This window comes from Homo sapiens, chromosome 10, assembly GCF_000001405.40.
Source record: "Homo sapiens chromosome 10, GRCh38.p14 Primary Assembly".
Lineage (NCBI taxonomy): Eukaryota > Metazoa > Chordata > Mammalia > Primates > Hominidae > Homo > Homo sapiens.
In genome coordinates, this window is record NC_000010.11 from 133,164,712 (window position 1) to 133,177,959 (window position 13,248).

General features: G+C 54.0%; 1 protein-coding gene across 7 annotated transcripts in view, besides 1 other annotated feature; it reads left to right on the forward strand.

Moving 5' to 3' along the window:
- Positions 1-13,248, forward strand: part of KNDC1 (kinase non-catalytic C-lobe domain containing 1) — a 66,194-nt gene that overhangs the window by 4,493 nt on the left and 48,453 nt on the right. For 5 of the 7 annotated variants that reach the window (NM_152643.8, XM_017016858.3, XM_017016859.3 and 2 more), the window contains exons 2-3: positions 2,670-2,868; positions 3,543-3,601. In NM_152643.8, the coding sequence (NP_689856.6) occupies positions 2,670-2,868; positions 3,543-3,601 (258 nt within the window). Of the gene's footprint in view, positions 1-2,669; positions 2,869-3,542; positions 5,910-9,219; positions 9,845-13,248 lie in introns of those variants that run through there. The other 2 variants (XM_024448245.2, NM_001347864.2) reach the window with 2 other exon arrangements.
- Positions 836-1,347: an enhancer, noted in NCBI's record as "H3K4me1 hESC enhancer chr10:134979051-134979562 (GRCh37/hg19 assembly coordinates)". NCBI's record gives its function as "activates a minimal SCP1, AML or CMV promoter by ChIP-STARR-seq in naive H9 embryonic stem cells {active_cell/tissue: H9 hESC(naive)}" and the evidence as "EXISTENCE:reporter gene assay evidence [ECO:0000049][PMID:30033119]".

Sequence of the window (13,248 nt, forward strand, 5' to 3'; positions counted from 1 at the left end):
AGGGCCCCTTCTGGAGGTGACTACAGGACGCCCACAGCTCAGGACTACAGGACGCCCAGATAGCTCCCGACCTTGAGGGTGGTCGTGGGGTTGTCTGCTGGGATGTGGCGGGGGGAGCCCAAGGACGTGGGATCCCCAGGCTGCTGAGTGCTGCCTGTGTCTCTCCCAGTCCTCTCGTCCTGTCCTGGCCTCTTAGGCCTGTCTGACCCCCCCTTGCTCACCCAGCCAGTGTGGATTCGGGCAAGGAGGGCTAATTCCTCTCACCTGTGCCAGAGCAGGGTGGAGGCTGCAGGTCCCAGAGGGCAGGTGACCCGGGGCCCAGAGTTCAGGCCTGGGAGCCCTCAGCACATGACAAGACCCCCTGGGTGGCCGGGCTCAGGACCCTGTGTGAGCGGAAGCCCACCCTCTGGAAAGCCCCAGAGAGGCTGAGACCATCCTATCCCTGAGGGGAGGCTTCAGCCACAGACCCCATGGAATTCACCGCTAAAGTCATCCAGAGAATCTCCGACGGAATTCAGACACGCCCACCTCTCATGGGTGCTGGGGCTCCAGGTGTCCGGCTTCCCTGAGGGGAGGAGGGGGCTGCCCATCACCAGGCATCTCCCCTCCAGGTCTGAGCAGGAGGGCGTGCTGTGTGCGAGTGGTGGCCCTGCTGGCACGGCTGACCTGGGCTCCCTTCCCGGGTCCACGTGTCTCGACACCATTCTGTGGGCTGGCGGCAGGCGCCTGACCTGTGAGTGACAGCCAGAGGCACCCCAGGGCCCCGCAGGGGGACGGGGACCGGCTGAGACGCGCCTCATGCTGACTCCCTTCCTCCTAAGCAGCACAACCTACGGGGTCCTCAGACTGACTTACCGCTTGGTGCACGTCTGTGCCCGTGTTTGCAGGCACGTGTGCGTGGGCATGTTGCGCTGTGTGCATGTGTGTGCCAGTGCACGGGAGTGTGTACATATGTGTGCGCCTGCGTGTGCAGGTGCATGGGTGTGTGCATGTGTTTGTGTGTACGCAGTGCCCAGGTACCTCTTTAACCAGCCTCACAGGCGTCGCTGGGAGCTTCGGGCTCTCTGGAGTCCTGAGGAGTCCTGGGCGGTGCTAAGAGGGCGGCAGGCTTGAGCCCAAATCAAACACCTTTGATCGATCACGGGCCACAGGAATGGGGCAGGGAGATTCCCGCCATAGAAAGAGCTGGAAGGGCCTGGGAAATGATGTCATCAAGCCCCTCCCTGGACCGCAAGAAGGAGATGGACGGGATGTGCCAGGACCCCACGAACAGACGCAGAGCCAGCCCCATGGCCAGGCCCCACCGGGCGCCCATGCCCTGATCCCGTCGTTTGTTGGCCTCCTGCTTTGGTTTGAGCCCTTCATCCCTTTCCTGTGCCTGGGGGGCCTCTTGCAGTGCCAGCCGCTGGGGCAGGGTAGGGGGACCGGAGGCAGGAGGTGCCTCTCAGGACATCAGCCCAGTGGCTCCAGTACAGCCAGAGCCGCCCTGTGCACTGGGGGAGGGGGGGCCAGCGATGGGGGAGAAGGGGCCTCTGCCTCCTCCTCACGGGCCCCACCCATAGTGTCCAGGCTGCAGCCCCCGGCCACCCCCTCCTACCTGCACATGGGGTGCCCCGGCCGGGGAGCAGCACACCCAAGAGGGCCTTCAGCTCCATACTCGGGTGCGTGCGAGTGTGGATTGTGCAGCCTTGTGTGTTCCTGTGAGGGTGTGTGCACCAAGTGTGGGAATGGGTGTGTGCGGGTGTGCATGTCTGTGCGTGCATATGGTCAGTGTTAGGCATGTGTGCGGTGGCATGTAGTATGTGTGTGAGTGTGAGGTGTGTGTGTGTATGAGGATGTCTGTTCTCATTGCATGAGTGTGTGTGTGTGAAGCGGATGGAACTGTGAGTGTGCACACACCTTGCACCAGCGTCCGAGTGTTACTGTGTGAGCGTGCCCTGTGTTGGCGTGTGTCCATGTGGGATGCATGTATGGGGATGCGTGTGTCTGTGTGAGGGTGAGCACGTGTGCTAGGTGGGTATGTTTGTGCATGTGCATGGGGGGGGTGTGGGTGTTGGTGGCAACCATCGTGATCACAGCTGAGCCCTCGCGGAGTCCAGGAGCCCACTCGGATTTGGAGGTGAGCCCACATGGGGGCGGCCGAGCCACATGGAGGGAACCGCCGTGACTGTGTCCTCCGTGTGAATTGCCTGGAACAAATGTTGGCAGCGCGTGTGGTTGTAAGTCATGTGAGTGTCAGGATCACGCCCCGTTAGCTCTGCACGAGTCCACAGTTGGGGATGTCCACTCCGTCGCCTCGCTCATCTGTTGGCAGCCTCCACAGGCCAGTCCAGCCGTGAGCCTGCGGGGTCGGGGTGCTCCACGGAGCAGGTGACCCAGCAGCTCTGGCCGAGCCTCCGGGAGGAAGGCCCCGTGCCCAGGCTCCAGGAGCCGACACCTGCTCTGGGCAGCACGCCGACGGTGCCACCAAATGTTCCGTGGCTCTGACGTCCAGGGAACAGCAGGACGACTCTTGAAACAAAATGAGACGTGGTCTAAAGCCCTTTCCCTGACCCACGCGTTGAAACGCTGCCACGAGTCGTCCGTTTCCCCAGGGAATCGTCTCGGTGGGGGTGCCGGGGCCTGGCTGGGGGTCCTGCCGGGCTCACGGCCAGGGCCGGTCTTGGCAGGAGAACGTGTCTCTGGCTGACATCCTCTCCCTGCGGGACCGCGGCCTCAGCGAGCAGGAAGCCTGGGCCGTGTGCCTGGAGTGCAGCCTGTCCATGCGGAGCGTGGCCCACGCCGCCATCTTCCAGAGCCTGTGCATCACGCCCGACACCCTGGCCTTCAACACCAGCGGGAACGTGTGTTTCATGGAGCAGCTCAGCGGTGAGGCGGCGGTGGCGGTGGCGGCGGCGGCGGGCACGCGGGGTGGAGGTGCCTTTCAGGGGGGATGTGAGCACTGGCTCTGCCGGAGCAGATGCTGGGAGCATGCCCGGACCCGGGTTTCCTGTGGAGACCTTCTCTTCCTTGGGAGGGACTCAGGCTGGAGAGTGGCCGAGGGTCCGTGGGGGTGCCTGCTGTGCCACGGCAGTCACGCCTACCCTCAGACACCAGAGGGACACTCGGCCCGCCCTGAGCCCCCTCCGCTCAGGACTTCCCCTAAGGGCAGGCTATGCCCCTCTTCTGTCTCCCCTGAGCCAGTCCCGCCTGCCCTGCTGTGAGTGGACGCAGGCCCGGGAGGGTGGGACGCCCCTGCCTCCGTGGGTCAGCTGCTCCCACTGCGTGGCCCCTGCCCGGGAGCTGATTTTCCCTGGTGAATGTCTTCAGCTTCCTTCTTGGGAAAGTGGTAGAACCCTTCCCTCTTCCACTTTGGAACCCATTTCCCATCATAACCGTTAAGGAGCTGATTTCCCTTTTTCATGGCCTAAAATGGTCTGGGGACACCAGGTCTGCGGGGAGGGAACCTGGGGCCGCTCCCTCTCCAGGCCCTTCTCAGCTGGCGGGTTCAGGTTTGCAGGTGTGACCAGAAGCCTTCTCTCCTTCTCTCTCTCCTCCCCAAGACGACCCTGAGGGTGCCTTCGTTCCCCCCGAGTTCGACGTGACCGGGAACACCTTTGAGGTAAGTGCAGGTGGGGGTAATGTGCCACACCCCCCTTTTACCTCTATGGTGGCCTCTGCCATTAACTCAGAAATGCACCTGCCTTGGGGCGACCTCTGCAAGTGGCCTCTGGCCGGGAGCGGAGCCGCTGCTGCCCGGTTCACTGGGCTATAGGGACGGCCTCTGGGGCACACCCGGCTTCGTCCCCTGCAGCGTTCTCTGTGGGCAGCTCGGACTGTGGGTTCTGTGGGCAGCTCGGACTGTGGGTTCTCTGTGGGCAGCTCAGACTGTGGGCAGAGGCTTTGGCTACGTTTGTCATCATTACCATTTTATAGCAGGTTTTCTGGAATGCGAATTTACTACACTTAACATGTTAAAAGTGACCAAAATGACCAGTGATGATCGGCAGGGAATCACAGCTCCTCTGAGGGAGTTAGCAGCCGGGCCACTCACAGCCTCTCCAGACACAAGGCCTCCAGGCACAGCTCCTGGGTATGGGCGTGGGCATGGGCCACCCTGGGGGCCTCACCGGCAGAGTCATAGATGCTGCTGCTCCCAGAGCAGACTCCAGTGCAGCCCCTTGGGGACCCTTTGCGTGGGAGGAGTCGGGCAACGGCAGCCCAGCGCCTTGAGGTCAGCACCTGTGTGGCCGGCTGGAGAGGGGCGGAATCACCCCGGGGCCTTCAGAGTCGATCAGTCCATCAGGCTGGGCTCTGTCCCCGGGCAGGGAGTGGCCCATTGGTGGTTCCTACTGTCACGAAGCCCATGGGCAGAGAAAGTAAAGCAATCCTTAACAAATAAGTAACTAGGAACTCAAAGATCTTCCCAATAAAAGCCCATCAGCTATGTCATGACCTTAAAATTTGACCTTGAAAGAAGAGTTTGGGGGCTGGGCATGGTGGCTCACTCCTGTAATCCCAGCGCTCTGGGAGGCTGAGGCGGGCAGATCGCTTGAGCCCAGGAGTTCAAGACCAGCCTGGCCAACATGGCGAACCCCGTCTCTACTAAAAATACAAAAGTTAGCCGGATGCAGTGGTGCACGCCTGTGGTCCCAGCTACTCGGGAGTCTGAGGCAGGAGGATCTCTTGAACCCAAGAGGTCGAGGCTGCAGTGAGCGGAGATGGCACCACTGCACTCCAGCCTGGCTGACAGAGCAAGACCTTGCCTCAAAAACAAGGAAAGAAGAGTTTTGGGATGGCTTCCCGCACCCTGCTTACTTTCACTCTGAAACAAGTGAGGCTGGAGCCCTTCACCCTGGGAGGTGGGCAGGGTGCCCCAGGAGGCCTCTGCTGCGGGGGTCCTACATTTTAGTGCACCCCAGCGTCCAGAACCCAACTCCCTGCAGCAGTGGCCTGGTGGCCGTGACGCGGCACGTGGCCTGGTGGCCGGGACATGGTGTGTGGCCTGGTGGCTGGGATGTGGCTGTGGCCTGTGGCTGTGAACGCAGCGCATGGCCTGGTGGCTGTGACGTGGCACGTGGCCTGGTGGCTGTGATCCCTGGTGCACATGAGGGAGTTTTAGTTTTGTGCTTGCGTTCCTAGTCATGTCATAATCCAGCTCAGACCTGGACATGACCTCAGCCCAGGCCGTGCCCGGTCCCCCTACTCCGTGGTTCCCCCGTGGGACTCGCATTCCTTCATTTTTATCCCGCGTTGCACGTTCCTCCAAGTCCTGTTGTTTCCTCGGGGCCATTTTTAACTTTCTGAAAAGACTTGAGGCCATCTGTGATCTTCCAGGACTTCCTTTTATGTATTTCTTGTTAAACTTCATCTGCAGAGCACTGTGTGGCCATAATGTGGCACCTGCTGTGTGTTATCCCGTCGGGTGAAACGCTACATTTAAATCCCCGCTTGTGAGGGGACTGAGGGGTGCGCAGGTGTTTCCTGGTGTGTACACCAAGAACACATCTTGGCGAGGTTTCTCTAGGGTGCATGCCCAGGAGGAAGTGTGGCTCGTGGGGCAGGTGGACGTACATCTGTTCCTGGAACTCCCCCAACTGCAGGCCCGAGAACACGGTGTGAGGATCGCTGGCTCCTGCAGGACGTGGACGTGGCAGGGGCCTGGGATCTGGGGTCTGGCCTGGGGTCTGGGGTCTGGCCTGGGGTCTGGCTCCTGCAGGACACAGGCGTGGCAGGGGCCTGGGGTCTCACACACAGGACAGCACCGCGCTGCATCTCCTTCCTGCGTCATAGGGGATGTGGGTGAGGAGTGCCTCTCCAGTGAAGCTTTATAACCCTAAAAAGTATTGTCTGCCCCTAAGAGCGTTTGCTTATGTGCGTTCTGTCTCTTCATGTTTATGATGATATAAATTAAAACCAAGACATTTTAAGTTATCTATTAATTCATTTAAAAATCACAATACCCATTGCATGTTAACATACATAACATTTTTATGAAGAATATTTTTCTTTCCAAAATTAGTGAGAAGAGTGGCATTGGGTTGCATATTTGTAAATCTTTCACGTCTGGGTTGTGGAAAACGCCTGGATTTTCATGGCAGCTTCTGCATTCAGTCGGCTGTGATATCACATCACGTGGCCCCAGCCCCAACCCCAAGCCCAACCCCAGCCCTAACCCTAACTCCACTGTCCGCTCATGAGGGAATGGGATGACCAAGGCAAATGCCGTCTCGGCATCATTACAGGAAGAGTTTAACCTCTTGAGCCACACTCAGAGAAAAGCTGGCCGACGGTGTCCTCTGCTGAAAAGTAGTTGCTCGATTTTAATATAATCAAATGTTTTAATGCTTCTTCTACTGTTAGGGTCTAACCTTCACAAGAAACCTTTCCCATTTCAAGGTTGAGCCGATAGTCACTGATATTTTCTACGAAGAGTTTTAAGTTTTGTTTCACATTTGATCCACCTGAAGTTACTTTAACGTTGTAAAGTTTTGCTGTAGGTGTCTTAGATATAGTTTATTAGATTTTCCTCAGGAATGTGATGTTTTTTGATTCTATTCTAAAATTCATTGTCCTCTTTTTGTTTTGTTTTGGTTTTGAGGCAGGGTCTCACTCTGTCACCCAGGCTAGAGTGCATTGGAGCAATCACGGCTCACTGCAGCCTCCACCTCCTGGGCTCAAGTGATCCTCCCACCTCAGCCTCCCAAGTAGGTGGGGCTGCAAGTGTGCACCACCATGTCCAGCTAATTTTTTAAAATTTTTATAGAGATGGGGTCTCACTCTGTTGCCCAGGCTGGTCTTGAACTCCTGCCTTCAAGTGATCCTCTCCCCTTGGCCTCCCAAAGTGCTGGGGATAAAGGCATGAGCCACTGGCCCCGGCCAATTGTATTGTCCTCTTTTTAATTACATTTTTCTGTTTGTTTGTTGCTAGTCTACAGAAATGCAATGCACTTTTTTTTCTTTCGAGACAGGGTGCAGCACAGTGGCATAGCTCACTGCAGCCCCAAATTTCTGAGTTCAAGCAATCCTCCCACGTCAGCTTCCTAAGTAGCTGAGACTGTAGGCACACGCCACCACACCCAGCTAATGTTTTTATTTTTATTTTTGTAGAGGCAGGGTATTGTTAGGTTGCCCAGGCTGGTCTTGAACTCCTGGGCTCAAGTGATTTTCTTACCTTGGCCTCCCAAAGTGCTGGGATTACAGGCATGAGCCACTGTGTCTGGCCACAATTCACTTTAGTATCTTTATTTTATATCCAGCCATCTTGCTAAAGTTTTTTTAATATTTCTAATAACTTACAGATTCTTTTAGTTTTCCTATTTAACTGATCAATCACTGACAAAGAAACAAGTGTTGGTTCCTCCCATCCGATGGTCCTGCTACAGGTTTTCCTTCCTTCTCTTACTTGATGCAGCAGGGAACAGCAATGAGTCTTGGAACAGAAGCAGTGTGAGGCTGGGCACTGTCCCATCTCAGGGAGAAACTGACCACTCCCCCCATCCCCCATTCTAAAAAGAGCGCTTTTCACCTTCCTCATCCAGAATGGCGCCCGCCTCCACCGCGAGTCCCCCTTGATGCAGAGTTTGATCGTGAATGTGTGTGTCAATTTTACAAGATGTTTCTTCTGCATCCTTTGACATGATCCTTTAATTTTTTCTTAAGATTTTCATATTCACATCTTTATTTTCTTATATTAAATCATCCTTTCTTACATAGAAAAACCTAAATTGGGCAAGTGTCTTGCCTTTTGTATACACTGTTTAATTGGATTTACTAACGCTTGCTTCAGATTGTTGCGCATATTGGAGTGGACTGGCGATTTCCCATTTTGTTGATGTTTTCACCGGCCTCAGGATTGTTCTAATCCTGTATAAGCAGCACCCCCTCCCTTTCTTTGTCCTGTTTATTTAAGAATGGGATGATCTGTTCCTTGAAAGTCTGGTAAAACTCACTTACAGGGCCACCTGTTTTCTTTAGGAAAGATTTTTAACTACTGCTCAGTTTTTAATAGCTACAGGACTGGCTGGGCACAGTGGCTCACCCCTATAATCCCAGCACAGGGAGATTTGGGGAGGCCGAGTCAGGAGGATCACTTGAAGACCAGAGTTAGAGACCAGCCTAGGCAACAAACTGAGACCCTGTCTCTACACAACATTTTAAAAATTAGCCGGGCATGGTGGCATGTACCTGTAGCCCCAGCCGCTCAGGAGGCTGAGGCGGGAGGACTGCGTGGGCCCAGGAGTTCCAGGCTGCAGTGAGCCATGATTACCCCACTGCACTCCAGCCTGAGCAGCAGAGTGAGACGCCACTTCTTAAAAAAATAGTTATAGGACTGATCTCTGGTGTTTCTTACTGAGTCAGCTGTGGGTCTGCTTTTTATGTTTGTGAAATCTCTGGCCTTCAGCTGCAGGTGCTCTCCTCTTCAGGCGCTGCATTAGCTGCAGGTCACCCCAATTCTCTGATTGGACAGTTAATTTGTGCTTTCTCTTCCCAGTCTCACTAGGGGTTTAGTTCGTTCATTTTTCCAAAGAGCCTCCTCTGTGTCCCGTCTGCTCTCCTGGCCTGTCTGTGTTTTCTTTTCCATTGATTCTTGTTTCTCATTCTCTCTTTTCCTCCTTGTTCTGAGTTTAGGATCCATCCCTTTTCTGACTCGAGCTGGACACTTAGGTCATTGGCTTTCAGCTTTTCTTCCTTTCCAATATCAGTAAGAGTACTTAAGGCTATGAATGTTCCTCAACCTGTAGGTTTTGTTGCAGCCTATGAGTTTGCCACATAATGTTTGCATGATCATTTCCTTCTAATTTTTTTTTTTATTTCCACTGGGATTTCTTCTTTAGCCCCTGAGTTATTTTAACAATGTGAACAGATTGGTTTTTTCTTACTTTTTATTGAGATATACATGCAGAAAAATGCAGATATCACAAACATACAACTTGAAGGATTTTCACACCGAACATCTGTGTAAGCAGCACCCAGATGGATGGCAGCAGCTCCTGCCTGTTCCCCGGGTCACTGTCTGGACAGCGCAGAGCAGAGGTTGCGGTTTTCCTGTTTTTGTGCCTCCTGTGGGTGGGCTCCTGCAGCGCTTGCCTTTGGTGGCTAGTCCTCCACCCAGCATCACGGGTGTGAGATTTATTCCGTGTGGCCATGGAAAGCATTTATTCCCAACAGTCGTCTCTAAACTTCCAAACACACTAGGGCTTTTATGTGTCATTTTCATTCTCTTCTTAACTTCTCCAGCCTCCACCCCATGAGGCTCCCCTCTCCACCCCGCTGCCCTGAGCACCAATGGGCTCCAGTGGCCCGGCCTGGAAGACTCCGACCCCTCCCCCATCGCTGGCCTGTTTGCTTGGCATTCATCCACGACATGCAGGCTTAGCAAGCGTCTGGGCTCACAGACAGCAGGGTGAGTGGGGTCCTGCCTCTTGCTGGTTCTGGTCTACACAAGTGACAGACTTGATGTGAGACCCACAGGCTGGGGATCCAATAATGCTGGGACATGAGAATGGGGCCCCAAGGCTCTTGTTTGCATCAGAGGCCTCCAGAGGCCACTGTGAGAAGGTGGAGTTTCAACTGGGACCTGAGGTTGAGTAGGGTTCACTGAATGAAGATGGGGAACTTGCAACACGGAAGGAAGGGCGGTGAAGATGGGGAACTTCCAACACGGAAGGAAGGGCGGTGAAGATGGGGAACTTCCAACACGGAAGGAAGGGCGGTGAAGATGGGGAACTTCCAACACAGAAGGAAGGGCGGTGAGTGGGAAGGTTGCTGATACCACCGGGTGTGTATCAGGCAGTGTCAACCAATAACTAACCAGAAGGTTATTTGCTGAGTTATTTTCTAAATAAATGGATTGATGGTTGGAGCATAGATTATTGATGATGGATGAATGAAGGGATGGATGAGTGGATGGCCAGGTGGATGGATAGGTGGATAGGTGGGTGGATGGGCAGGTGGATGGGTGAATGGACAGATGATGGTGGATATGTGGATGGATGGGTGGGTAGATAGGTGGATGGACAGATAGATGGTTAATATGTGGATGGATGGGTGGATGGATGATGGGTGGATGAACAAGTAGATGGTGGGTATGTGGATGGACGAATGGGCGGATGGGTGGATGGTGGATATGTGGATGGATGCGTGGATGAACAGATGGATGGTTAGGTGGATGCATGGGTGGATGGATAGATGGATGGTTAATATGTGAATGGATAGGTGGATGTGTGGATGGGTGGGTGGATGGGATTATGAACAGGTAGGTGGTGGATATGTGGATGGATGAGTGGGTGGATGGGTGGATGGTGGATATGTGAATGGATGGGTGGGTGGAAAGATGGGTGGAAAGGTAGATATGTGGATGGATGGGTAAATGGATGGGTGGGTGGATGGGTGGATGGATAGATGGATGGTGGATATGTGGATGGATGGGTGGATGGATGGTGGGTGGATGGGTGGATGAAAAGGTAGATGGTGGATATGTGGATGGATGAGTGGGTGGATGGGTGCATGGTGGATATGTGGATGGATGGGTGGATGAACAAATGGATGGATGGGTGGGTGGATAGATGGGTGGATGGTGGATATGTGGATGGATGGGTGGCTGGATGGGTGGGTGGGTGAATAGGTAGATGGACATGTGGTTGGATAGATAAGTGGATGGATGGGTGGGTGGGTGGTTGTATGTGTGGAGGATGGATGGGTGGATGAATGGGTGAGTGGGTGGATGGGTAGATGAATGGATGAGTGGATGGATGGGTGGGTGGATGGTAGATGAACAGGTGGATGGGTGGATAAGTAGATAGATGGGTAGATGAACAGGCACATGGATGGGTGGGTGGATGGTTGGGTGGAGGATAGATGAGTAGATGCATGGGTGAGTAAATGGATGGGTAGATGGATGGATGGATGGATGGGTGGATGAACAGGCAGATGGATTGATGAGTGTATGAATTGATGGGTGGATAGATGGGTGGAGGATGGGTAGGTGGGTGGATGGGTGGATGAACAGTCGGATAGGGATGGATGTGTGGATGGATGGGTGAATGGACGGATGAGTGTATGGATTAGTAGAGGATGGACGGGTGGAGGATGGGCTGATGGATGGGTAGGTAGATGGGTGAATATGTAGATGGCTGGCTGGGTGGATGGGTGAGTGGACGTGTGGATGGGCAGTTAAGTGGATGGATGGGTGGGTGAATGGATGGGTGGATGGATGGATGGATGGGTGGGTGAATGCATGGATGGATGGGTGGGTGAATGGATGGGTGGATGGATGGATGGATGGGTGGGTGAATGCATGGATGGATGGGTGGGTGAATGGATGGGTGGATGGATGGATGGATGAATGGATAGATAGATGGGTGGGTGAGTGGATAGGTGGATGGATGGATGGGTGGATGGGTAGATACATGGATTGATAGGTGTATGAACAGGCAGATGTATGGGTGGATTTGTGGATGGATCATGGGTGGGTGGATTGATGGAGGATAGATGGGTGGGTGGATGTGTGGAGGATGGGTTGATAGATGGGTGGATATGTAGTTAGATGGGTGGATGGATACATAGGCGGATGGATGCATGGTGGATGGGGGATGGGCAGATGGATGGATAAGTGGATGGATGGGTGGACGGATGGGTTCCAGGTGCCTGGATGGAAACAAAGGGGAATGGAGGGAAGGAATGAATACCCTGGCTTTCCGTGTGGTATGGAGATAAGTTCTATTCTCAAGGCTGTGGGAATCACTGTTGAGAGCATGATCCCAGGAGGGTTGTTGCTGGTCTCCTGCCCTCTGTGTGTGCAGTGCCTGGTAGGCATATGTGCAGTGGGCCCTGGCCATCTGGATGCTCGGCCGGGTTTTCAAACCTCTGGTCCATACTTTTGCCTCCACATCTTTGCCCAGGTTGCTCCTTTGACCTGGAGTGTCCTCTCTTGTCTTCTCACAGCTTCACTCACATCTCCATGGAATCCTCCCTGACCCATAGCCCACAGAGGCTGGCCCCACTCCAGTTCCTTGAAACTTGCTGTAGTTTTGCTAATGTGCTCTGGGTCCTCAGGTATTAGATCCCCTGGAGACCGGGGCTGTGCTTGGTGCTGCTCAGCACCCCTGCATCTAGGCTGAGGGAGGTGCCATCTGGGGTTATTGTGCTCAAGCCATTGGCCACAGCCGAGAATGCTGCTGCCCACTCTGCAGGAACACTGTCCACAGTCAAGCTGAGCACAGCTCGGAAATGTGCAGACGTGCCCTAGCTGGCCTGGTCAGGCCATGGCAGGGCCAGAATTCAGATGCAGCCTCTGCCATCTGAGTCTGCGTTCCCTGCTGCCCTGCATGGCAGCTGACCCAGCCCACAGCAGATCACCCAGCTGTGCACCAACCTCTGCTCACCCTCTTCTGCTGGGGACCCATGCAGCTGCTGCCTGGCAGAGAATGTATCCATGTCCATGTCCAATTGTGTGTCTGTGTCTCTGTGCACATGTATACAGTATAGTGTGTCATGTGCACGTGTATGTAGTATAGTGTGTGTGTGCATGGTGTGTGCATATGCATGCAATATGATATAGTGTGTTTTGTGTGCACATGTATGTGGTCTGGCATATGTGTGCATCTATGTAGTGTGTACATGTATGTAGCGTGGTGTCATGCCCGTGTGTACATGCATGGCATGCTATGTCTGTGGGTTGTGCACACGTATGCAGTATGGTGTGTGGTGTGTTTCAAGCACACGTGTATGATGGTGTGCATGAATGTAATGTGGTATGCATCTTGTACATGTATGCCATGTGTGCATGCATGTAGTATGGTGTGTGTCATGGTCATGTGTGTAATGTGTGTGCATGCACATAGTGTGTGTCATGAGCACGTGTGTTGCATGTGTACATGCATGTGGTGTGTGTATCGGGCACATGTGCATAATGCATGTGCATGCACATAGTGTGTTGTGAGCATGTGTGTTGCATGATGTGTACATGCATGTGGTGTGTATATCATGGGCACATGTGTGTAATGTGTGTGTCCATGCATGTGGTATGGTGTGTTGTGGCCACATGAGTGTTGCATGGTGTGCATACATGTGTGTGGTATGGTGTGTGTAGCATGCCTGTGTATGAACTATGGTGTGTGCATGTTTGTGGTGTAATGTGTGCGTGCATGCATGTAGTGTGTTGTCATGGGCACGTGTGTAGCATGGTGTGTGTGTAGTGTGCATGTGTGTGCAGTGTGTGTGTGCAAGCATGTAGTGTGTTATGTCACGGACACGTGTAGCATGATG